At 52.3% G+C, this 25,379-nt stretch overlaps 1 protein-coding gene across 16 annotated transcripts in view, besides 6 other annotated features; it reads left to right on the plus strand.

The window, feature by feature from the left end:
* RAP1GAP2 (RAP1 GTPase activating protein 2) overlaps positions 1–25,379 on the plus strand; it is a 282,097-nt gene that overhangs the window by 231,044 nt on the left and 25,674 nt on the right. For 14 of the 16 annotated variants that reach the window (XM_047435668.1, NM_001411048.1, NM_001438816.1 and 11 more), the window contains 6 exons: positions 4,609–4,709; positions 8,649–8,778; positions 11,533–11,688; positions 18,681–18,752; positions 19,267–19,353; positions 21,323–21,457. In XM_047435668.1, the coding sequence (XP_047291624.1) occupies positions 4,609–4,709; positions 8,649–8,778; positions 11,533–11,688; positions 18,681–18,752; positions 19,267–19,353; positions 21,323–21,457 (681 nt within the window). Of the gene's footprint in view, positions 1–4,608; positions 4,710–8,648; positions 8,779–11,532; positions 11,689–18,462; positions 18,593–18,680; positions 18,753–19,266; positions 19,354–21,322; positions 21,458–25,379 lie in introns of those variants that run through there. The other 2 variants (XM_011523745.3, XM_024450659.2) reach the window with 2 other exon arrangements.
* Positions 8,090–8,266: a silencer, noted in NCBI's record as "fragment chr17:2898072-2898248 (GRCh37/hg19 assembly coordinates)". NCBI's record gives its function as "represses an EF-1alpha promoter that drives an FKBP-Casp9 reporter gene in an ReSE screen in HepG2 liver carcinoma cells {active_cell/tissue: HepG2}" and the evidence as "EXISTENCE:reporter gene assay evidence [ECO:0000049][PMID:32094911]".
* Positions 8,516–9,016: an enhancer, noted in NCBI's record as "H3K4me1 hESC enhancer chr17:2898498-2898998 (GRCh37/hg19 assembly coordinates)". NCBI's record gives its function as "activates a minimal SCP1, AML or CMV promoter by ChIP-STARR-seq in primed H9 embryonic stem cells {active_cell/tissue: H9 hESC(primed)}" and the evidence as "EXISTENCE:reporter gene assay evidence [ECO:0000049][PMID:30033119]".
* Positions 15,851–16,020: an enhancer, noted in NCBI's record as "active region_11501". NCBI's record gives its function as "activates an Ori minimal core promoter by ATAC-STARR-seq in GM12878 lymphoblastoid cells {active_cell/tissue: GM12878}" and the evidence as "EXISTENCE:reporter gene assay evidence [ECO:0000049][PMID:35858748]".
* Positions 16,931–17,060: an enhancer, noted in NCBI's record as "active region_11502". NCBI's record gives its function as "activates an Ori minimal core promoter by ATAC-STARR-seq in GM12878 lymphoblastoid cells {active_cell/tissue: GM12878}" and the evidence as "EXISTENCE:reporter gene assay evidence [ECO:0000049][PMID:35858748]".
* Positions 17,231–17,280: an enhancer, noted in NCBI's record as "active region_11503". NCBI's record gives its function as "activates an Ori minimal core promoter by ATAC-STARR-seq in GM12878 lymphoblastoid cells {active_cell/tissue: GM12878}" and the evidence as "EXISTENCE:reporter gene assay evidence [ECO:0000049][PMID:35858748]".
* Positions 24,091–24,592: an enhancer, noted in NCBI's record as "H3K4me1 hESC enhancer chr17:2914073-2914574 (GRCh37/hg19 assembly coordinates)". NCBI's record gives its function as "activates a minimal SCP1, AML or CMV promoter by ChIP-STARR-seq in primed H9 embryonic stem cells {active_cell/tissue: H9 hESC(primed)}" and the evidence as "EXISTENCE:reporter gene assay evidence [ECO:0000049][PMID:30033119]".

Consider the following 25,379-nt stretch of genomic DNA (forward strand, 5'->3'; position numbering starts at 1 on the left):
CACTGTGCTGTGCATGCTGGGGGATACGGTGACTAAGACCCCTCCCTGAGTGCACAGTCCAGCTCAAGGCCAGGATCAAAATAATGGCAATACTACTACTCTCAGGCTGGATGTGAATCTTGCAAGAGAAGTGCAGGTCCCACAGCACACGCTGCATTGTTTTTCTAGTGGGAGATGTAGTTTGCCTGGAAGCAGCTGCTCTTCCACAGTCTGGCCTCATGACCTGGGGCAAGTAGGACATGTGGCTAGAGTTGTGACGCCTTCATGGCATGCTATAGATCAGGGATTGGCAAACTTTTTTGGGTAAAGGGCCAGATAGTAAATATTTTTAGACTTCATGGGCCTTGGAGTCTCTGTGACAGCCTCTCAGCTTTGCCTTGGTGGTGCAGAAGTAGCAATAGACAATAGATAAATGAGTTGGCCTGTCTGCGTTCCAATAAAACTTTATCGATAAACACAGGCAGCAGGCCAGACTTGGCCCATGGGCTGCAGTTTGTTGACTCCTTCTAGAGTGCGGTGTTTCCCAGCCTTCAGACATTCACAGACCATATCCAGGATCTGTATCATAGCATTTGTTGCACCCTATGCCACTGTTAAGATCTTTATCACAATATTTTAACGAAATATTTTCTTTAAAAAGTTTTGTTTTAAACTTACATACATTTATTTTTTATTTTTATTTTTATTTTTTTGAGACGGAGTTTTGCTCTTGTTGCCCAAGCTGGAGTGCAAAGGTGTGATCTCGGCTCATTGCAACCTCCGCCTCCCGGGTTCAAGCAATTCTGCCTCAGCTCCCTCGAGCAGCTGGGATTACAGGCAGGCACCACCACGCCCAGCTAATTTTGTATTTTTAGTAGAGACGGGGTTTCACCGTGTTGGTCAGGCTGGTCTCGAACTCCCGACCTCAGGTGATCCGCCTGCCTTGGCCTCCCAAAGTGCTGGTATTACAGGGGTGAGCCACTGCACCCAGCAACATGCATTTATTTTTAAAGGAAATTTTATATCACTCCTCTAACTGGAAAACCAGTATCATGAAATGAAGGTAATTCTAAAAAAAAAATACTGTAAAAAGCAAAATAAAATTATTGAAATCTACCAGATTCTGTTGCCTGTTGAAGGCATGGAGCCCAAGTTCTGCTTTTTGTTGTTATTGTTACAATTACCTACTGAAGACATTCTCTTGAAGTGATTGGGTAGGCTAGAGTGTCTTTGTATCATCTGCCGCTCTTCATGGCAGCCTGTGCATGTTTGCAGAGCCTTCAGCTGTTTGTACATCCTGCTACTGTGGGTAGAGCCTGTTGATCAGGCAGTGTTTGAAGGCTGTTACTGTTTGCAGAGCTTGCTACTGTTTTCAGCTTTGTTTTTTACAAAATTAGCCAGGAGTGGTGGTGGGCGCCTATAGTCCCAGCTACTTGGGAGTCTAAGGCAGGAGAATCACTTGAACCTGGGATGCAGAGGTTGCAGTGAGCCGAGATCGTGCCATTGCACTCCAGCTGGAGCAACGAGCGAAACTCCATCTCAAAAAAAAAAAAAAATTACTAACCTTTTTATCTTTAGGTATTTGTAGATTCACATAGAGTTGTAAAAAATAATACAGCGAGATCTCATGTACCCTTTACCTACTTTCCCCGCAAAGTAATGTCTGACAAAACGATAGCACAATACCACAACCAGGATGTGGACATCAATCTCCCAGCTCCAGTCCGTAACCCCTGACAACCACTCATCTGTTCTCCAACTTCTAAAACATTGTTATTTCAAAAATGGTATATAAATGTAGTCATATAGTGTATAACCACTTGAGATTGGCTTTTTTCCAGTCAGCAAGATTAATCCAAGTTCTTGGGTGTATCAATACTGTGTTCTTTTTCATTGCTGAGTAGTACTCTGTGGTATTATAACTGTACCACAGTTTGTGTTTAACCATCACCCACTGAAAGACATTTTTGGCTATTATGAATAAAGTTGCTGTGAACATCTGTATATAGGTTTTTGTGTGAACATAAGTTTTCATTTCTCTGGGATACATGCTTAGGAATACACCTGCTGAGTTGTATGGTAATTATGTGTTTAGTTTTGTAAGAAACTGCCGGCCGGGCGCAGTGGCTCACGCCTGTAATCCCAGCACTTTGGGAGGCCGAGGTGGGCGGATCACGAGGTCAGGAGATTGAGACCATCCTGGCTAACACGGTGAAACCCTGTCTCTCCTAAAAATACAAAAAATTAGCCAGGTGGTAGTGGGCGCCTGTAGTCCCAGCTACTCGGGAGGCTGAGGCAGGAGAATCGCTTGAACCTGGGAGGCAGAGGTTGCCGTGAGCCGAGATTGCACCACTGCACTCTAGCCTGGGTGACAGAGTGAGACTCCATCTCAAAAAGACTCTGTCTCAAAAAACAAAAACAAAACAAAAAAAAAACTGCCAAACAGTTTTCTAGTGTTTCTTCTCACCAGCAGTGTATGAGTGATCCAGTTTCTCTATAACCTGCCAGCATTTGGTGTTGTGACTGTTTTTTATTTTAGCCATTCTGATAGATGTGTAGTGGTATCACCTTATGGTTTTAATTTGCATTTCTCTAATGGTTAATGATGTTGGACATCTTTTCATGTGCTTATTTGCCATCTGTATATCCTCTTAGGGGAAATGCCTGTTCATGTCTTTTTTTTGAGACAGAGTCTCACTCTGTCACCCAGGCTGGAGTGCAGTGGTGTGATCTCTACTCACTGCAACCTCTGCCTCCCGGGTTCCAGCGATTCTCCCACCTCAGCCTCCCAGGTAGCTGGGACTACAGGCACGTGCCACTATGCCCAGCTGATTTTTGCATTTTTAGTAGAGACTGGGTTTTGCCATGTTGGCCAGGCTGGTTTCGAACTCTGGACCTCAAGTGATCCACCCGCCTCGGCCTCCCATAGTGCTAGAATTGCAGGCGTGAGGCACCGCGCCCGGCCGTTTTCATGTCTTTTGACCATTTTCTAAATGGATTTTTTTTTTTAACTGTTGGGTTAAAAACATTTTTAAAAATAACAGCTTTATTGAGCACATCAGCATAATTCTTGTACCATATAATTCATAATGTTATGTAATTTATATCTCAATGAAGTGTGCAGTTCAGTGGTTTGTAGTGTAACCACAGAATCGTGCACCTGTCCTCACTAACTCCAGACATTTTCATCACCCCCAAAAGAAACCCCACACTCACCAGCAGGCACTCCCCATCCCCCTTTCCTTTAGTTCCTGCCAACCCTAATCTAATTTCTGTCTCTACAGATTTGCCTATTCTAGACCTTTTATAAATGGAATCATCATATGTGGCCTTTTGTGTCTGGTTTCTTTCACTCAGCGTAATATTTTCAGTGTTTATCCAGGTCGTAGTATGTATCAGCACGTTGTTCCTTGTTCATGGCCAAATAATATTCCATTGTGTGGATAGCCCACATTTTGTCTATCTATTCATCAGATGGACATTTGGGTTCTTTCTCCTTTTGGGCCATTATGAATAGTGCTGCTATTGATATTCATGCATACATTTTCTGTGGACATGTTTTCATTTCTCTTTGGTGTATACCTGAGAGTGAAGTTGCTAGATCATATGGTGACTCTATGATTAGCCTTTGGTATATACCTCAGAGTGAAGTTTCTGGATCATTTGGTGACTCTGTTTAGCCTTTGGCACATGCCCGGGAGCAAAGTTGCCAGATCATATGGTGACTCTGCGTTTAGCCTTTGGTATATGCCTGGGAGTGAAGTTGCCAGATCATATGGTGACTCTGCGTTTAGCTTTCCATATATGCCTGGGAGTGAAGTTTCTGGATCACATGGTGACTCTGCGTTTAGCCTTTGGTATATGCCCGGGAGTGAAGTTGCCGGATCATATGGTGACTCTGCGTTTAGCTTTCGGGACCTGCCTGGGAGTGCTGTTGCCAGATCATATAGTGACTCTGCATTTAGCCTTTTGAGGAACTGCTGGACTGTTTTCCACAGTGGCTGCGTCATTTTCCATTTTCAGCAGCAGCGTGTGATGGTTCTGATTTCTCCACACCCTCACCAACACTTGTTATTGCCTTTTATTGCCTTTATTTTTCATTGTGGCCATCCTAGTGGGTGGGAAGTGGTATATCATTGTGGTTTTGATTACTTTAGAGTTTTCAGAGTTCTTTATTCTTTTTTTTTTTTTTTTTGAGACGGGGTCTCACTCTGTCACCCAGACCGGACTGCAATGGTGTGATCTTGGCTCACTGCAACCTCCGCTTCCCAGGCTCAAGCGATTCTCCTCTCTCAGTCTCCCGAGCAGCTGGGATTACAGGCACCCACCACCATGCCCAGTTACTTTTTGTATTTTTAGTAGAGACAAGGTTTCACCATGTTGGCCAGGCTGGTCTCGAACTCCTGACCTCAAGTGATCCACCCGCCTCAGCCTCCCAAAGTACTGGGAGTGAGTCTCCATCAGTCCCTCCTCTCTCCACCCCAGTCCCACTGAGGGCAGCTATGGTGGATGTGCTGGGAGACAGGGAGAAAGGAAGAAAGGGACCAGGTACCTGGGCATCCATATTCCTTCCTTTAGCATCAGAAAGAATTTTTCTAATTCCTGCCCTTATTCCTGTTTCTCTTTCAGACCCTGGAGGAGGAGCTATTTGGGAACAATGAGGAGAGCCCAGCTTTTAAGGAGTTCTTGGACCTGCTGGGGGACACGATCACACTGCAGGATTTCAAAGGGTGGGTTTTAGCCAAGTGACGGCTCCAGCTCCATCAACAAGGGCACTAGAGGAAGGGCAAGACAGCTCAGTCCTCAGGGAGCACGTGTGAGTTAAAAACACACAAGAAATGAGGGATGGCTTTTCAGGGTCTTGTCGCTCACTGCATTTCTAAGGAATCAGGGGTCCAAGGAGTGATCCAGTGTGGCAGATTCCCCTGAAGGCGTTCACGTTCGGCCCTGGGCCCCGCCCCAGATGTGCCTTCCTACTTACCTTTGGCCCAGACTGAGAATGGAAGGAATCCACCTTCCCTGTCACTCACCTGCCAGGTGTGTGGGAAAGGGAGCCCCGTGCAGTTTTGGGGGGAAATGACCTATTTTATTTTATTTTTTATTTTTTTATTTTTGGAGACAGAGTCTTGCTCTGTTGCCCAGGCTGGAGTGCAGTGGTGTGATCTCAGCTCACTGCAACCTCCACCTCCCAGGTTCAGGCGATTCTCCTGCCTCGGCCTCCGGAGTAGCTGGGACTACAGGCGCCCGCCAACACGCCCAGCTAAGGTTTTTGTATTTGAGTAGAGACGGGGTTTCGCCATGTTGCCCAGGCTGGTCTTGAACTCTTGAGCTCAGGCAATCCACCCACCTCAGCCTCCCAAAGTGCTAGGATTACCGGCGTGAGCCGCCGCGCCTGGCCTGAAATGACCTATTTTAGATAATACACAAAGAATGCATCATGAGGAGCTGATGCAAATATAACAGTTCCTCAGGCAGGAGTCCATACAACAGTCTATGCTTTTTTTTTTTTTTTTGAGATGGAGTCATGCGCTTTGCCAGGCTGGAATGCAGTGGTGCGATCTTGACTCATGGCAGCCTTTGCCTCCTGGGTTCAAGCGATTCTCCTGCATCAGCCTCCCGAGTAGCTGGGACTACAAGGCGCGCGCCACCATGCCTGGCTAATTTTTGTATTTTTGGTAGAGACGGGGTTTCACCATGCTAGCCAGGATGGTCTCGATCTCCTGACCTCATGATCCGCCCGTCTGGGCCTCCCAAAGTGCTGGGATTACAGGCGTGAGCCACCGTGCCTGGCTCAGTCTATGCTTTTTTAAGTGGGCAGTAAGATAGAACATTGGGGCCGTTGCTTGGAAAACTCTGGCCCTTGACTTTCCTTGGCCAAGACCGCATTTGGGATGAGTCCAGACCTGGCCAGCCTGTTTTGTCCTTGGTGGCTGGCAGATGGCTCCAGGCCCCAGAATTCTCCATCCCAGCAGCCAGATTGACATGAGCTCCTCACATCGTGTGAAAATACCTAGCCCAGTGCCTGGCACACAGCGGATATTCACTAATTGCTTTCTTCCTCTGCTTCCTTCTCTGTCCTTCCTTCTTTTTCCTTTCCTCTCTTCCTCCATCTTCTCCCTCCCTCAAGGTCATCACGGCTGTCTGGGGTCAGTCACACCTGGGATAAAACCCCCGCTCCATCACTTATTAGCTCTGTGACTTTGGATAAGTGACTTGACCTCTATAAGCCTCAGTTTCCTCACTGTAAAAAGCGAGATAAAGGGCTGGGCTCAGTGGCTCACGCCTGTAATCCCAGCACTTTGGGAGGCCGAGGTGGGTGGATCACGAGGTCAGGAGTTTGAGACCAGCCTGGCCAATATGGTGAAACCCCGTCTCTACTAAAAATACAAAAAAAAAAAAAAAAAATTAGGCAGGCATGGTGGCAGGTGCCTGTCGTCCCAGCTACTTGGGAGGCTGAGGCAGGAGAATCGCTTGAACCCAAAAGGCAGTGGTTGCAATGAGCTGAGATTGCGCCAGTGCACTTCAGCCTGGTCAATAGAGGGAGACTCTGTCAAAAAAAAAAAAAAAGGAGGTAAAGATAGTGTCAGCCCTAAAAGGTTTTGGGGGGATTAAAATAAGATAATGGGCTGAGCGTGGTGGCTCACGCCTATAACCCCAGCACTTTGGGAGGCTGAGGCGGGCAGATCACGAGGTCAGGAGATTGAGACCATCTTGGCCAACATGGTGAAACCACGTCTCTACTAAAAATACGAAAAATTAGCCGGGCGTGGTGGCACGTGCCTGTAGTCCCAGCTACTTGGGAGGCTGAGGCAGGAGAATCGCTTGAACCCAGGAGATGGAGGCTGCAGTGAGCTGAGATTGTGCCATTGTACTCCAGCCTGGGTAACAGAGTGAGACTCTGTCTAAAAAAAAAAAAATAAATAAATAAATAAAAAATAAAAGATAAGATAATGCTCACGAAACACTTAAGTGCTGTTCAGGGCTAGCTAGTCACGATTGTTATTGTTCTTATATTGCCACCTTCCATTGACTTTGAGATGCTATCATTATAAGACACATCCTGTGACTTTAAAATGTGAAAAAACGGCCAGGCATGGTGGGTCTCACCTGTAAGCCCAGCACTTTGGGAGGCCGAGGCGGGTGGATCGCTTGAGCCCAGGAGTTTGAGACCAGCCTGGGCAACATGGTGAGACCCTGTCATTAACAAAAATTTGAAAAATTATAAAAATTAGCTGACTATTGTGGTGTGCTCCTGTGGTCCCCGCTACTTGGCAGGCTGAGGCGAGGAGGATCGCTTGAGCCCAGGAGGTTGAGGCTGCAGTCAGCCATGATTACACCATTGCGCTCCAGCCTGGATGACAGAGTGAACCCCTGACTGAAACCAAAACTAAACGTGGGCCTTAGAATAGCTGAAATACAGTATAGTAAGCCCAGAAGGTCCTCAGAGTTATGAAATTCTATCCCTTTATTTTATGGAGGCCTAGAGAGACTAAATGAATTGTCCACGATCACGTGCTGATTTAGTGGCAGAAGCAGGTCTAGAACCCGGAGCTCCTGCCCCCTGTCCAGCATTCTTTCTGCCATGCCAGCCTGGGCACATTTTCTGGCTTGTATTGTAGTGTTGGGGATGCTGAGATTCTAGGTCCATCTTATTTCATTTTCTTAAAGGAACCTGCATCTGCTGAAGACTGTGATCAAAGCTGGCAGCCGTGTGTATAAAGGCAGAAGGGACAACTCCTGGAAGCCCACCCAGTTCCTTAGAGCTTTTCTTTCTTGCCTGTGAGGAGACAGCCAGAGAAGGGACTTCCCTGGATACTCCCAAGCGGGATGCTGCAGTGGTTGGGCCTGTATCTTAGGGACTAGCTAGGCAGAAGTTGAGCATCTGCCACCTCTTCTGACTGACTCCAGATGCTCCTCTGGGGCTCCCCACCAGCCACCAGGATGGCTGGCTGCCCTAGCTCTGGGCAGAGGACTTGGACATGGCCTTGCAGAGAGCAAAGAAAGGCCGGCGCCCCACCTTGGGGGAATGGCACCGGGGATGGGCATTTGTCTGGGATTGTGGATGGATGCGCTTCCTTCCCATATAACCAGCAAGTGTGGACACGGCACAGCCAAGGCTTGAGATGGAGGTTCTGCTTTGTGATTGATTGGTTGATTGATTGATTGATGGAGTCTTGCTCTTGTTGCCCAGGCTGGAGTGCAGTGGCGCCATCTCGGCTCACTGCAACCTCCACCTCCTGGGTTCAAGCGATTCTCCTGCTTCAGCCTCCTGAGTAGCTGGGATTATAGGCATGCACCACCATATCTGGCTAACTTTTGTATTTTTAGTAGAGACGGGGGTTTCACCATGTTGGCCAGGCTGGTCTCGAACTCCTGACCTCAGGTGATCTGCCTGCCTCGGCCTCCCAAAGTGCTGGGATGACAGGCGTGAGCCACTGCGCCCGGCCAGCTTTGTCTAAATAATGGGTTTGTGGGTAGAGTGCCAGCGCTGATATACCTGGAAGAACAGATCTACCTGCTTTTCCCACATCACAGCCTGCTCTGCCCTCAGCTCTCCTGTCTCCTCTGCTGCGTATCCTCTGCTGCGTATACTTAGGGGAGCTTGCATTAAGTTGCCCACTTTGCCTCACTCTCTTTTCTCCCCATCTCCTGCCCTGTTTTGTTGACAGTTTCCGAGGAGGCCTGGACGTGACCCACGGACAGACAGGGGTGGAATCAGTGTACACAACATTCCGGGACAGGGAGATCATGTTTCACGTTTCCACAAAGCTGCCATTTACCGACGGAGACGCCCAGCAGGTAACCTGGTTTGGGAGGGCTTTGGGAGCCCAGGGCGGGCGAGGTGAGGGCCTGCCTCTGGTCTGACCTGCTAAGAGGCTGTGGCCGTCCCCATATTCGTTCCCGTAGCCGGCCATTCGTTCAGCTGCGCAGCAGCGTCACAGTCCGTTCTGCTGTGTTTCTGGCCGAGGCTGTGCCTCAGCGGTCCGTTCTGTTGTGTTTCTGGCCGAGGCCACACCTCAGGGGCCCTGGGCGGGAGGCGGGGCAGAGCTTGTGTTTCTTCCACGTTGACTGATGGGAAAACTGCAGCCCATGGTGGTGACAAGACTTCCTTGAGGTTTCTCCGTTTATCAGGGGCAGAGCCCAGGGCAGAGCCTGGGGGCCCTGGTCATAGAGGGTGGTGGCAAAGGGTGCATGGTGGGGTTTGCAGATGGGGGCCTGAAGCCGCCTGTGCCACTTTGGAGCGTGTGACTCTGGGCAAGCCAGTTAACCTTCTCATCTATAAAATGGGGGGTAACACCACCCATGGTAGAGGGTGATTGTGGGGATTACATACATTTCTGACTAGGGTTCATACGATGCCCAATTCATGGCTGGCTTCCTATAGAACAGCTGTTCACTGTCCAGCCCCTGGTCATTTTGTCCCCCTTCCTGCCCCAGTGACGGAAGGCTGGTTATTGCGTGAGAATCCTTCCCCACCCCCAGCCTTCCTCATCTCACAGGCTCCTCTCTCACCACACCTGTGGGAATTCAGCCTTGACCTCCACTAGGGAGACCTGGACGAGACCCCTGTCCCCACTGCTTTCCTGCCGTGCCCCCCGTTTGCTGCTCTGACAGCCGTGCATCCCTGGGGAGAGCCGCGGCTGGTTCCTGGCTGTTACAAGCCCAGTTCCCCCAGCCTGCCTTCTGCCCCTTTTCAGTCTGGGAAAATAAGAAAATGCAGGCAGGCCTTTGCCCAAACTCTGACCTGTGTGTCTCTGAGCAGGAACTGGGGAGGGAGCACAGATGTAAAATTGTAAACATAGTGCCTGGCTTCTTAGGAAAGAAGGAAATTGGCAAACGAGATGATGAGTTGGCTCTAAAATAGCTACTGAATGTTCCAGAAACAAATGGAAGCAGAAATCCTTTTGTATCCAAAGTGGGTTTTCATTCAACCTTTCACCTCCAGCCCCTCTGTTCCCTTATGGCCTCTCTCACCTGCTGCCCCGGCCTGGGCCTGAGGCCTGTTCTCTCTGGGCCTTCTCAGTCTTATGTGTGTTTCTTGGGAAATACACCTTGGCACAGGGCTCGGCTCTTGGCGGGGACTGAGTAAATATTAAGTTTCTCTTCCTGAGAAATGGAAAGATGCGCGTGGAGTAAGTGAGGCAATTTGTGTGAAAGTGCCCAGCACAGTGCTTGGTGTAAAACAGGTGCTCAGTGAATGAGAAACTCAGTGTGAAGGGACTGAGCATTGGGCCTGCATGCAGTGGGTGCTTAACAAAGGAACAAATGCATAGACAGGCACCTAGCCAGGACTCGACATACAGGAGCGGGTTTTTGTGTGTGTGTGAGGAGGGCTGTCACTCTCTCACCCAGGCTGGAGTGCAGTGGTGCGATCATAGCTCACCGCGGCCTTGAACTTCAGGACAGGGTTAACATTTGATATCATGCATGAACAGCCCAACATGGTTCCAGGGACACACCAGGTGCTTGGTGGCCGAGATCACACCCAGAAGCACCTGGCCCTGCTTGGGATATGGAGTTATGGTTGGGATCCTCCTTCCATCCCACCTACGCCAAGCTGGGTGAGCAGTGCTGTCATGATCTGCCACCTCATCACTCTCATTCACACCTTCAAGACCCCCTGACACGTCTCCTCCTCCAGGAAGCCCTCTCAGGTTGCTTTCCAGCCCTGTAATTTTGCCCTTGCCTCTGTCTCCAGAGCTGTCAGGGATTTCATGCACAGCAGCTGACTTAGCCCTTGCTGGCTGGTGGCTTTGTTAGTTTTCTCAGGTGGCTTCACCTGTGTTTGTATTTCTCCCAGATCAATGACAGGCTCTACCAGGGCAAGACCCCGCCTTGCCTTTTAAATATTCTTGCCAAGTCCTGAGTCAGGGATCTGCATGCTGTAGAGGTCAGTAAGATGCTCGCTAGCCTCTACCTAACGACTTGGCCATCTTCCCCATTTTTTTTTTCCTTTTTGGTGGCTTCTAAAGATTGAAAGAAGGTTGGGCACAGTGGCTTATGCCTATCATCCCAGCACTTTGGGAGGCTGAGGCGGGCTGGTCAGGAGTTTAAGACCAGCCTGGCCAACATGGTGAAACCTCGTCTCTACCAAAAAATACAGAAATTAGTGGGTGTAGTGTCACGCGTCTGTAATCCCAGCTACTCGGGAGGCTAAGGTGGGAGAATCACTTGAACCCAGGAGGCGGAGGTTGCAGTGAGCCGAGATCGTGCCACGGCACTCCAGCCTGGGCAACACAGTGAGACCCTGTCTCAAAAAAAAAAAAAAAAGAAAAAAAAAAGATTGAAAGAAGAACCCCCCTGGTTTTCCCCAAATAGGAAAGCAACTCAAAAGATACACAAAGCACGAAGCGTGTTCCATGCACTTCTCCCCTTGCTGCCTGGCATTGGTACTGTGCTTTCATACTTAAACTTCCAAAACAACAACCACGAACTCTTCTCACTCAGAATTCAGTTTTCCTGTGTGCAAAGGAAAGTGAACCCACTCTTTCCCCAAAACATCTTTCATGATTTTCCTAACTGGCTTATAACCTCTCAACACTTTTTATTTAGCTCCAGAGAAAGAGACACATTGGAAATGACATCGTGGCCATCATCTTCCAAGAGGAAAACACGCCGTTTGTCCCAGACATGATAGCCTCCAATTTCTTACATGCCTACATCGTCGTGCAGGTCGAGACCCCAGGCACAGAGACCCCATCCTACAAGGTAAGGAGAACGCCTTGTTGGAGGGAGTGGTGGGCCTCGACACCTCACCCTGTGTGGATGCTGTGATATCAGAGGACACTAGTCCTCAGCAGTCAGAGATTCTCCATGAGTTTGCAGGTTTCTGGGGTTTGGAGCTAGATTCTGGGTAGGGAGGACCTTCCAAGGCCACCTGATCCCCCTTGCTGCCTCCGGGCTCAATGGCATCTCACTTGAGGATTGAGGAGGTGTGAGTGTAGTATTTGGAATTTGGTGATGCCATTTGCTCGCTGTGAGTGTAGTATTTGGAATTTGGTGATGCCATTTGCTCGCTGTGAGTGTAGTATTTGGAATTTGGTAATGCCATTTGCTCGCTGTGAGTGTAGTATTTGGAATTTGGTGATGCCATTTGCTCGCTGTGAGTGTAGTATTTGGAATTTGGTGATGCCATTTGCTCGCTGTGAGTGTAGTATTTGGAATTTGGTGATGCCATTTGCTCGAGTAAGGCAGAGCTGGAATAAAGAAAGAGCGTGGAAAGGACGAGCAGGAAAGGGTAGCGATAGAAGGGTGCTAACGAAGGAAAAAAAGAAAAAAATGTTGATGGTGAGGGTGGAGAGGAGGGGCCTGGTAGACCCTGGCCACTGGGTAAGGCCCTGGCCTGGCTGTTTTGGACAAATGATGGATCTTAATTTAAAGACCTCCAGGGAGGCAGATACGCAAGCACCTGGGTCTGAACCTCCCAAGCAGTCACGGGTCTGTCAGATGGCTCGAAATCCTCACCGGTGCAGATGACAGCGAGACAGGGCAGCTCATTGCCCCTGCAGTCCCCCGCTCCCCACTCCTCATGGCTGGATCTCTGACCCTCCCTCCTCTGCTCCACGAGAAAGAATCTCCACCTCTTGGGCAACAGTCTCTTGGTATCACAGTGCTGTGGCGGGCATGGGACTCAAGGGCGTTGGACTGAGGCAGGCTTTCAAGGCAAGGGTTAGGCAGTCTCTGACTCCCTGCAGATAAATGCAAAATGCTGAATTTGTGCCTTTCCTTGGATTCCTGAAAAGAGAGGCCATACCTTAAATTCTCAAAGCGCTCCCTGCTCCGCAAAATATCAGGAACCACTGTTCTAAGGGGGAGGAAAGATGAGCCTGTGATTGCCAATGGGTAACCATGAGGCCTGAAAATGTTTCCCGTCAAATAATTTCAGCCCATCCTGATTCCTGGGGTTCATGAGGCCACAGCAGTTCAACTCAGTTAAGTGCAAAATTCACGTCAGCTTTTAAAATGTGATGTGAATCGTCAGAAGAAAATAAAAAGAGGCTGGGCACGGTGGCGTACGCCTGTAATTCTAGCGCTTTGGGAGGCAGAGGCAGGAGGATTGTTTGAGGCCAGAAGTTCAAGACCAGCCTGGGCAACATAGCGAGACCCTGTCTCTAAAAAAAAAAAAAAACAGAACAAAACAAAATAAAACAAAACAAGCAACAGAAACCCAATAGCAACCCCCTCCTGTTGAGGCTGATTCCTTCATGCCCAGGCTCATGTGTCCCTGCCATTGAGCAGTTTTAGCTGAAGCTGGCGAAGACATGGTGTGAGCATTTATTTTCTTTTCTTTTCTTTTTGAGACAGAGTCTTGCTCTGTTGCCCAGGCTGGAGTGCAGTGGTGCAGTCTCGGCTCACTGCAACCTCTGCCTCCCAGGTTCAAGTGACTCTCCTGCCTCAGCCTCCCAAGTAGCTGGGATTGCAGGCTCCTGCCACCATGCCCAGCTAATTTTTTGTATTTTTAGTAGAGACGGGGTTTCTCCATGTTGGCCAGGCTGGTCTCGAACTCCTGACCCCAAGTGATCTGCCTGCCTCTGCCTCCCAAAGTCCTGGGATTATAGGCGTGAGCCACTGTGCCCAGCCCATTTCTTGAAGGCTATAGGATCACCTGCTTTGAGTGAAATGGGCATTCACTTCAAACAGCTGCTCGATTCAAGTGTTGGTTGAAGCAAGTTGACTTACTCAGTGCCTACTGTGCGCCAAGCTCCAGGCTGGAATGGGGCTCGTGGAGGTAACAGAATCAGCCTCAGGGCCTTCCTGATGCCGGAGAAGGGGCAGAAGAAGCAGGGAGTGCAGGTCCAAGCACCAGGCTGAAGTGGGGCTCGTGGAGGTAACAGAATCAGCCTCAGGGCCTTCCTGATGCCGGAGAAGGGGCAGAAGAAGCAGGGAGTGCAGGTCCAAGCACCAGGCTGAAGTGGGGCTCGTGGAGGTAACAGAATCAGCCTCAGGGCCTTCCTGATGCCGGAGAAGGGACAGAAGAAGCAGGGAGTGCAGGTCCAAGCACCAGGCTGAAGTGAGGCTGGTGGAGGTAACAGTATCAGCCTCAGGGCCTTCCTGATGCCGGAGAAGGGACAGAAGAAGCAGGGAGTGCAGGTCCAAGCACCAGGCTGAAGTGGGGCTCGTGGAGGTAACAGAATCAGCCTCAGGGCCTTCCTGATGCCGGAGAAGGGGCAGAAGAAGCAGGGAGTGCAGGTCCAAGCACCAGGCTGAAGTGGGGCTCGTGGAGGTAACAGAATCAGCCTCAGGGCCTTCCTGATGCCGGAGAAGGGACAGAAGAAGCAGGGAGTGCAGGTCCAAGCACCAGGCTGAAGTGAGGCTCGTGGAGGTAACAGTATCAGCCTCAGGGCCTTCCTGATGCCGGAGAAGGGACAGAAGAAGCAGGGAGTGCAGGTCCAAGCTCCAGGCTGAAGTGAGGCTGGTGGAGGTAACAGTATCAGCCTCAGGGCCTTCCTGATGCCGGAGAAGGGGCAGAAGAAGCAGGGAGTGCAGGTCCAAGCACCAGGCTGAAGTGAGGCTGGTGGAGGTAACAGTATCAGCCTCAGGGCCTTCCTGATGCCGGAGAAGGGACAGAAGAAGCAGGGAGTGCAGGTCCAAGCTCCAGGCTGAAGTGAGGCTGGTGGAGGTAACAGTATCAGCCTCAGGGCCTTCCTGATGCCGGAGAAGGGACAGAAGAAGCAGGGAGTGCAGGTCCAAGCACCAGGCTGAAGTGAGGCTCGTGGAGGTAACAGAATCAGCCTCAGGGCCTTCCTGATGCCGGAGAAGGGACAGAAGAAGCAGGGAGTGCAGGTCCAAGCACCAGGCTGAAGTGAGGCTCGTGGAGGTAACAAGATCAGCCTCAGGGCCTTCCTGATGCCGGAGAAGGGACAGAAGAAGCAGGGAGTGCAGGTCCAAGCACCAGGCTGAAGTGAGGCTCGTGGAGGTAACAAGATCAGCCTCAGGGCCTTCCTGATGCCGGAGAAGGGATAGAAGAAGCAGGGAGTACAGGTCAGCCACTGGGCAGCTGAACTACTCAACTGCTTCTTTTAATAGACAGTTGAAGAGGAAGAACTACTGGGAAGGATCCTTGGAATGAAGCCATGTGATAGGAGGGCTCCCAGACCCTCTGGCAGAACGAGGCCTCCTGTAGACGTTTAGCATTTGCTTCTCTTTCCCAATAGGAAATGCATCTCAGCTAACCAGCTTCTCCACTTTCCCGAGACCTTAGCCGAGTGGTGCACTCATACAGAGAAAAATCAGAGATCCAAAAAAGCGCCACCCCACCTCCAGCTGTGGTGCTAGAAGTCTTTACCCACTCTTCTTCTCCTTTTTTTTTTTTTTTTGAGACAGTCTCGCTGTCACCCAGGCTAGAGTGCAGTGGTGTGATCTTGGCTCACTGCAACCTCTGCCTCCCGGGTTCAAGCAATTCTCCTGCCTCAGCCTCCTGAGTAGGTGGGATTACAGGCACCCACCACCATGCCCGGCTAATTTTTGTATTTTTGGTAGAGACGGGGTTTCACCATGTTGGCCAGACCGGCCTTGAACTCCTGACTTTGTGATCCACTGGCCTCGGCCTCCCAAAGTGCTGGCATTACAGGCGTGAACCATCATGCCTGGCTGTCTTTACTCTTTCTTCTAAGCCACAAAGCACAGCATTGTCCTCAGAGGGGTGATGAGAAGCAGGGGGGCAGGGCTTCCCGGAGGAGCAGGCTGTGGTACCTTGATCGTGCACTCCACCTGCCAGGCAGACACTGAGGCTGGAAGGCCAGACGTGTGAATGAGGCCAGGGAGGGGGACCAGCCTTCCAAGGCACTCCCCAAAGCGCTGTCCATCCACACTCCCGGCAGCACCCCAGGTAATTAGCAGACTGCGAGGAGGACCCGGTTAGATCCCCCAGGGGGCCTGGGTGAAGCAGGACCTTAGCTGGCCCCTGCAGGCTCAGGGGCTGTGGCAAAGAAGGCTGAGATTTCCTCTGGGACTGAGTAAGCCCCAGGAGGCCTCCACTGGGGAGGGTGAGCTGAAGAAAGAAGAGTATAAAGGAGGGACAGGGTTGGGTGTGTGCAGGAAGGGGTCCTCTTCTGTCCACGGAGGGGCCGGGCTGCCTGGGGTTCTGGTCCTGGCACTGCCTCTGCTGCGTGACCTTGTTCCTTCCCTCTCTGGGCCTCTAGTTTTGTCTGTGTGAAATGAGGAAGTTGGATTAGACACCTGCAGGCTGCTAGCCCTGACATCCTGCGGGAGGGAAGGAGGCGTGCTTGGGTGTGTGTGTGTGTGGTGGGTTGCAAGGTGCTTTGGGGAAACTCTATTTCAGGAGCCCTTTACTGGGTGCAGGTCAGCAGGGGAAGTGAAAAGGCCACTGGGCGACAGTGGTTACCCCTTACCAGCTGCTTGCTCATGCCAGGCACGGTGCTGGGTCCTTAGACGCACAGTCTTGAATCCTGACAAGCCCCTGGTGAGACAAGACCTCTCGCTAGAGGGAGGAAATGGAAGCTGAGAGCTGAACCCACTTAAGGCCTGAGGCCACAGAGCCAGGGAGCTGTGGCTGAGGTCCTGTCTGGGTCTGCTTGCGGTCTTGGTCATTGAGCCATCAGAGCAGGCGAGAAATTGGCTCCACGGAGTCGGGTGTGCACGAAGCATCACTCTGGATTATTTTTCAGAAATGAGTGTAGTCCTCATCCTGCCTGCTTGGAAGGAAAGTCCAGCTCAGCCATCACCAGGACTACCCCTTTCCCTCCCCCCTATCCCTGCCTCCCTCTCCGGAAGTCCTCAAAGGTGTCAGGAATCTCAGGTGAAGCCCACCGCCGGGGAGGGCCCTGTCTTTGTAGCCCCCTCCCCGTTTCCCGTCACGACTTGTCTGTTGCTCGGACGATGCTCTGTGTGCCACCGCGGCTCCCAGGCCACTCTTGGGCGTGGGGCCTTTGTCACGTTTGAAGCTTTCTGAGGTTCCCAGTGCATCCTCATGACCCACACCAAGCTCCTTCCTCCTTCCAGCCATGCAGGTCCCTTCCCCAGAGTCACCTGCATCTGCCTCTCTCCCTCCCTCCAAGCCCTCGCTGGAGGCCCTCGCTGCATTTAGAAAACAGGAAGGTGGGGCTGTGTTCAGGCAACTTCTGCTTTCAGTCCAGTGACCCAGATGTCCCCAAGAGGGGGGAACAACAAAGGCCTGGCCGCCTGGTTGGAATGGGGTCAAGAGAGGCGCACAATGAGGATGGAAGGTGAACGCACGTCGCAAGGAAGGGCCCTGTCCTCCGTGTGGCCCACAGGGCTCTGCTGTGGGACTGTCCAGCTGGAGGGTTGGATGGACTTGAGGATGTGTCTGAAGCCACTTACACGGTCGGCACAGACCACTCTAATGCAGGCTGGAGGAGGAGGGGGAGTGGGGTGGGAAGGGCAGAGCTGGGGCTGCCCTCTGGCCTCTGTCCCAGGTGCCCACGGTCTGCAGTCTCCCCATAGCCTTCCCACACCCCCACCCCTGATTCTGGCTCTGTGACTGAATTCTTGACCTGGGCCACCGGTGCCTGGTGGGTGGTGGTAGGGAACCGGGTTCAGCTGCTGGAGCCCAGCCAGAAATCACGTCAGCCGAACGCGCACCATTTCCTGACTCGGGGCACTGCAGTTTGGGCTGGGCAGACAGCCTGGAGCTTGAGAAGAGAAAGCCCGTATTGACCAGCTCTCTCCCGCTCCGTTTCCCCTCCGGACTCTGGCAGGGCCTTTCCTTGGCTCGGTGCCCAGCTGCCTGCTCACCCGGCCTGGCAGACTCTGCATCTGCTCCACTTCACAGGCCGGGGAGGCTGGCAGCACGCCAGGGCTGGGCTCACGTCAGCGGCTGTGTAGGGAAGGGAGGGCAGTCTCCCGAGAGCCTCACAGCCTCGTGGGCTGAGAATAGGTGAAGTCAGGGCACCTCTGTGCAGAGGGAAGGCGGGGTGTGGGGCCCGTCCCACGCCTGGGCGACCCCCATGCAGCGAACCTCGAGGCCGTCACTCTAAAGCTCAGTCTCACTCAGGGTGCCAGAGGTGCGCGCCCCACCCTCAGTTCCTAGCCTGGGCCTAGGACTGGCTGACCCCGTGTGTGGGGCCAGGGCTCCCGAACACGGGTCCACCGGCTGCACGAGAGTTTCCGGGGGGCCCTACCCTTCCGATTCGGCAGGTTTAGGCCAGAGCCCATGAACCCAGTCTGTATTTTTAAACACCTGAAGCAATTTTGAAGCAATTCTGATTTATGGCCGAGCTGAGGAGTCAGGCTTGGGAAGAGAACCCCAGAGACGGGTCGGGAGAGGTCTGGATGCTCTGTTCCTCTGCGGCTAATCACCTGTGGGACTTGGGGGCTTCTCTGTGTGTCTCTGGGCATCTGTTTCCTCATCAGGGAGAACAGTTCTCCCTGTGCCTTCTCAGTAGGATTAGCGTCACGGTCGAATGAGGTCACGAGATGCCATCTCCCGGGCACTTGTATGGCATTAAAATTAGGGTCCCAGCCCTGTCCAGTCATCTTGCCAAACCTGCTTCTGGCCTCCAGGAATGCAGATGAGAGGCTGCGGATGGCCCCACACCGTCCGGCCCCACTTCTAGGAACAGGGTCAGGGCCTGTGCTGGCGATGCTCACAGGAGTATTTTGTTTGTGTTCTGGGAAGAGGAGGAGGGAGAAGGTGAGTAGCTTTGTAAGGAGCGTGGCTCCCGTAGGGGCAGCGCTCGTCTCTTCCCTCCAGGTCCGTACCATGACTCTGTTTCACTCAGGTCTCTGTCACTGCGCGGGAAGATGTGCCCACCTTTGGTCCACCTCTGCCCAGTCCCCCCGTTTTCCAGAAGGTAGGACACTCTTCCTTCTGCCCCTCTCGCATCCACGATGCCAGGTCTCAGTGCTTGAGTAGCAATGGTTGGGATGGAGCCAAATTCAGGCTGGGAACATTAGGGAGCTCCTTTTGCAGGTTTTGGGGGGAACCTCCTTTCTTGGGGTCTCTCCCCACCTCTTTCATGCTGCCAGTCTGGCCCAGCATAGGACCACTTGTCAGGGTGTTTGACACTGGGGTTGCTTTTCTGCTGAAAGACGGGCTTTTATGTTGAGCCCCGGTCAAGGAGCCTTGGGCAGGAATGAGCTCCAGTCGTGGAAGTGCCACTGTGGCTTCCCAGGACCAGGGAAGCGGGTTTCCTTGTTGGGATATTTGCAAGTGGGCTTGGCCTGGGCTAGAAATGATCCGCTGTCGGAAGGGACTTTTCAGGGGTTCTCCCCATGGCCCCGGCTCTGCCTGCCTGTCACTGTGGCTGAAGACCTTCTGGCAACAGCCGAGAGTGACAGACCTGAGGTCCGTCTTGTCTCTTCCAGGGCCCGGAATTCAGGGAGTTTCTGCTCACCAAGCTCACCAATGCCGAGAACGCCTGCTGCAAGTCGGACAAGTTTGCAAAGCTGGAGGTGAGAGTGTGGTTTCTGAAGGTCTCCCTCCTGACTGCTGGGCCACCTGTTAGCCAGCCTCATCCAGGGCTCCTCCATCTTTTTTTTTTTTTTTTTTTTTTTTGAGACAGAGTCTTGCTCTGTTACCCAGGCTGGAGTGCAGTGGCATGATCTTGGGACTCACCACAACCTCTGCCTCCCGGGCTCAAGTGATTCTCCTGCCTCAGCCTCCCTAGTAACTGGGATTACAGGTGTGCGCCACCACGCCCAGCTAATTTTTGTATTTTTAGTAGAGACAGGGTTTCCTCCATGTTGGCCAGGCTGATCTTGAACTCCTGACCTCAGGTGATCCGCCTGGCCCAGCCTCCCAAAGTGCCGGGATTACAGGCGTGAGCCACTGCGCCTGGCCAATCAGTCCTTTTTTTTTTTTCAAGACAGAATCTCACTCTGTCACCCAGGCTGGAGTGCAGTGGCCCGATCTTGGCTCACTGCAAGCTCTGCCTCCCGGGTTCACACCATACTCCTGCCTCAGCCTCCCGAGTAGCTGGGACTACAGGCGCCCGCCACCACGCCCAGCTAATTTTTTGTATTTTTAGTAGAGATGGGGTTTTGCCATGTTAGCCAGGATGGTCTTGATCTCCTGACCTCGTGATCCGCCTGCCTCGGCCTCCCAAAATGCTGAGATTACAGGCGTGAGCCACTGCGCCTGGCCCAATCAGTCATTTTTAAAGCACCTACTATGTGTCAGGCCCTATTCTGTTCCCTGGGATATGGGGATAAGTGAGACAGTTTCTATCCCTGGAGAGTACACAGGGTAGTCGGGGGGTGGGGCAGGGGGTCATTACTAAATAGATAGTTATAGTACAGTGTGCCAGCACTAGGCTGGGATGGAGGTCAGCACAGCTCAGATAGTGACTGTTTCTGCCTGTAGGGGACAGAGGGTGTGTTCAGGGAAGGCTTCCTGGAGGAGGTGGCTCATGCACAGCTGAATCTTGATATCAGATGAACCTTCTGCCAGGAGGAAAGAGTGGGGAAGGGAGGGCTGATCTGGCATGGTAGACAGCATGAGCAAAGGTCAGGAAGAACCAGAGCCTGACGTCAGGAGGGAGCTCCTGAGGGTTTGCTGTGGCTGAAGGACCCACGGGGGCTGGAATGGTGGAGACTCAGCCGGAGATGTTGGTTGGATCAGATCCAGAAGGGCTTTGAGCTCGGGACGGTGGGCTGCTGGTAAAGCGCTTAGGCAGGAGAGTGAGGGGCTCGATGTGTATGCCAGAGGGATTGCTCTGACAGTGGTGTCATTGAGAACGATGGTGACAAGGACAGGTTGCAGGGCAAGAGGTGCAGGAAGGCGGCCAGTTAGAAGCTATTTACAGGAATGCAGGAGAGATGACAAAGGCTTATACTGTATGGAAGGAAATGGTTTAGGGTCAAGGTTGGGAAGACTTGGTGGACTCCTGGCTGTAAGTGTTGTGGGACGTGGGATTGATTGTAGGGTGACTCTTGGGCCTTTGGCCTGGGCTCTTTGATGACATGGTGGCCAAGTTGTGCCTGCGAAGGCCGGGTTGCTGAAAGGGCCAGTCCTCATCTGTGTGAATAGCGGCCCCTGGCATCCATGTGCATGGCTCTGGACGAACATCTGGATGGAGAGGAGCAGTGGGGAGTTGGGTGCGTGGATGTGGAGCTGGGGCAGAGGGCCGGGCTGGGATTCACTCTTCCTTCTGCTCCTCTACCACCAGGGTGGAGCTGTGGCAGTGGTGGGACGACCCAGGGAGAAGGGCAGGGGGAGTAGAGCAGGAGGCCGAGCACGCAGCCTTCATCTTAGCTGCAGCATTTGTGAGCACGAAGCTCAGCTCAGCAGTAGGTCCACACCGTTGCTGGGCCGGGCTGGGCAGAATGTCAGCCTCCAGGCCAGGTGTCTGGAGCTCACAAGGAGCAGGCACATCTCTGCTCTCAGAGCCAGCTTCTCCATCCCCACCCTCTTCCCTTCTAGGACCGGACCAGGGCTGCCCTCCTGGACAACCTTCACGATGAGCTCCACGCCCACACACAGGCCATGCTGGGACTGGGCCCAGAGGAGGACAAGTTTGAGAATGGAGGCCACGGGGGGTTCCTGGAGTCTTTTAAGGTATGAGCGTCAGAGTGACTGATGGTTGCTGTGGGGTTGGGATTGGGGAAGAAAGGAAGTGGTCCAAGGTCCATGGGATACTGATCCCAGAGCCCAAGGGCCAGCTGGAGGGGTGACAGGAAACGTATGGGTATCCTAGGTGTTTGCAAAGGGCAGGGCCGTTAGGAAGTGTGTGAGGCTGGAGCAGCCAGCAGTTTTCTCAGCAGCCTCCCCATCCTTCCTCTATCTGGGTCATCTCCTCCGGGCCCAGAAGTCTGTTAAGCAGGGACAGGTAAAGAGGTAGCAGTAGGAGAGGAGCTGGAGCAAGCCAGGAACATCGGCGCTTTCACCTGCCTCCTCCTGGGTTGGGGAGCCCAGGGCAGAATGGCAGGAGCGAGGACCACAGCCCTTACGGGTCTTCGTAGCTGCTGTGGGTGCCACAGTGATTCTTCCTAGCCAGCCGGCCGAGCATTGGAAGACCTGGCTGGGCAGGGGCCATGGAACTATAGGCAAGTCCCTTTGGACTTTGCCAAGGGAAAAAAACTAACTAGAAGGAGCTGCTAAAGGAAGCAGTGAGCTCCCTGTCCCTGGAAGTATTCAAGTGGAGCTCGGACGGCCCCCGAGCTGGCGTGTGGTAGAGGTTTTTCATCTTATGCTTGCTGAGTGCTTGTTGGTCCACGCAGCACGTAGACCCAGCATCTGGCTCGAGCCTGGCTGTCAGCCTGTGCAGGTGGCGGAACGGGTCTTGTTATATTCACGAACACACGTGGGGACAGGATGAGAGACGCCACAGGCCTGCTCAGGTCCTTACACCGAGGCAGAGTTAGAGCCTCATTTCAAACGCAGGTCTTCTGATTCTTAGGTCCGTGTGCTGCTGGATTGCCTGTTAGAAGGTGATTTGGAAACTCCCATCTGGGGGCATTATGTGTGGGACTTTATGGGGAATTATGTGTAGGGCTACACCCACCTCTATTAAAACCGCAGCTCTGTGGGATCCTGGGCAGTCTTTCAAGCCTCTTAAGGTGCAGCTTTCTTGTCAACAACATAAGGATAGGAAGCAGGACCCCTGTCAGAGCCATTGTGCGAGTTCATTGATACCATGCCTGGAAAAGTCCAGATTGCCTGGAATATAGTAAATGCTCAAAAATGTCAGCTGTTATTACAGTTGTATAAAGTGAAAGCTTCACACACATTATCCCACCTGGAGATTCACAACTGCCCTCAGTGCCCTGTGAGGAAGGCTATTATTTGGGGTGTAATAATTTTGGTATAATAGTTCATACTCAGTTTTAATAATGATAGGCATAGTATTATATGGGAGGAAACCAAGCCTCAAAGAGACAGAATCATTTGTGGGAGCAGGTGGAGTTGAATCCAGGTCCGCCGGATTCCAAATCCGACACCACCTCCCACTTCCTGACTTTGTTAAGATTCCACCCGCACTAGCCTGGGCCCGGGCAGGCCTGGGGTCAGTCCCCCACTGCCCGGCTGGACCGCAGAGAGCAGGGCACAGCTCTTCCTACCCTAGTTGGGGCCAGCTGCCAAGATGCCTCTTGGGGTTGGGAAAAGGAGCTGAGCTGCTTGTCCAGGCTGGTGGGTGATTCCTGGGGCACCTGTTTCAGTGCTGATGGACAGTGGGAGCCCGGGTGAAATAGGAGAAATTGGGAGATCAAGACGGAAGAGGGATGCAGAAGAAGAGGAACGGGAGGAGAGAGGGCGCCAGGTCAGACAACCCAGCGAGAGAATGGAGAGTGTGAGATGCGGTAAACAGGAAAACGGGCTTGGGTCTGGGGAAGGCAGGAAGGGGGGCACCACATTAAGCCTTCCACAGGCTCTAGACTTCCTTCCAGAGGCTCCACCACACTCCATAGCCCACGTATCAAAACATTCTGCATCCCTCAGTAAATGTAATTTATGCAGAACTATAAGAGGTGAGGCCAGGTGCCGTGCCTCACGCCTGTAATCCCAGCACTTTGGGAGGCCGAGGCAGGCGGATCACGAGGTCAGGAGATCGAGACCATCCTGGCCAACATGGTGAAACCTCGTCTCCACTAAAAATACAAAAATTAGCCGGGCGTGGTGACGTGAGCCTGTAATCCCAGCTACTCAGGAGGCTGAGGCAGGAGAATCACGTGAACCCGGGAGGCGGAGGTTGCAGTGAGCCGAGATCACGCCACTGCACTCCAGCCTGGAGACAGGGCGAGACTGTCTCAAAAAAAAAAAAAAAAAAAAAAAAGAAAAGTTGAGCTGCAGTTGGGGAGCCAACATAATGTTGTATTTTGTAGACATTTAATGAAGCACTTGTTTTGAGTTTTGCAGGTTTCTTGTAGTATTTTGGAGTTAATTGGTTTTTCAGGTTTCAAGTATTTCTATATCCTGGAGATGCTTGTAGGCTGTGGACACTCTGCCCATGGTGCCCAATGGAGGAGGTGGTCCAGCAGCTAAATACAGGTGGCAGGTATAAAGAGAGTGGCCTGAGGCCGCTCTGTCCAGTCCCCCGCCTCTGGCAGGAGTCGCAGTTGATCTGTGCTTGACTCGAGGGGGTCTGACGTATTCCTAGAGGGGCTTACAAGAGAGGAAACACTTTAAGACTTTATCACGACTCATCTTTGATCCAGTGATCCAGGGAATTCTTTTCAATACTAAAACCCTGCAACTGTAGGTTGAAGACAGGCCTGCTTCCAGATTCTGCTCTCACACCTACCTGAGGTAGCACCGTGGGGCGTGGGAGAGACTGTGACAGTCACACAGAGTAAGCTTCAGGGCCCTGACGGTTGTGACCAGATTTTTTTTAAATTTTTTTATTTTTTAATTTTTTTTGAGGCAGGGTCTTGCTTTGTCACCCAGGCTGGAGTGCAGTGGTGCAATCTTGGCTCACTGCAACCTCTGCCTCCCGGGTTCAAGTGATTATCCTACCTCAGCCTCCTGAGTAGCTAGAATTATAGGTGCCCGCCACCACGCCCGGCTAACTTTTTGTATTTTTAGTAGAGACGAGGTTTCACCATGTTGGCCAGGCTGGTCTCGAACTCCTGACCTCAGGTGATCCGCCCACCTCAGCCTCACAAAGTGCTGGGATTACAGGTGTGAGCCACCGCGCCCGGCCATTTGTGACCAGCTTTTTTCCCTCCCACCTGGGGAGCACGAGCTCCTGTTCCCTGTCCCTTTCGTCATTGCCCTCACATCTCCCAAGCATGGAGGCCTGAGCTGGGGACAGGCCAGGCTCAGCCGAATGGAGCCCTGGGGCCTGGGGTGGATTCTGGTGTTTAGGCCATGCCTGTGGCCAGGCCTGTGTGTCTGGCCCAGCTCAGGAAACCATCCCTAGTTTTGGTATTTTTTTTTCCTGGGCACCTTGGGCGGTGCTGCTGTGTCAACAGGACGTTGCTTAGGGAGTTCACCCACACCTTCCTGGGATCGCTCTTGAAACAAGTGATACCTGAAATGTTCCAGGAAGAAAAGTTACAGGCCTTTATCTCTTCCTGTCAAAGTTTTTTTTTTTTTTTTTTTTTGAGATGGAGTTTTGCTCTTGTTGCCCAGGCTCAGGCTGGAGTGCAGTGGTGCGACCTCGGCTCACTGCAACCTCTGCCTCCCGGGCTCAAGCGATTCTCCTGCCTCAGCCTCCCGAGTAGCTGGGATTACAGGTGCCCGCCACCACACATGGCTAAATTTTTTGTATTTTTAGTAGGGACACCATCTTGGTCAGGCTGATCTTGAACTCCTGACATCAGGTGATCCGCCCATCTTGGCCTCCCAAAGTGCTGGGATTACAGGCGTGAGGCACTGCGCCCGGCCTCCTTCCTGTCAAAGTTCTCATTTCCCAGGCTGATGGGAGCATAACTGAGAATCCCCAGGGCTGAAAGCCATCTCAGCCATCCATCCTTGCCCCTGGTGAGGCTGCTGCTCCCCCACGTCAGCACTGACCCTTGATCTTTCTCCTGAGCAGCAG

This window comes from Homo sapiens, chromosome 17, assembly GCF_000001405.40.
Source record: "Homo sapiens chromosome 17, GRCh38.p14 Primary Assembly".
Lineage (NCBI taxonomy): Eukaryota > Metazoa > Chordata > Mammalia > Primates > Hominidae > Homo > Homo sapiens.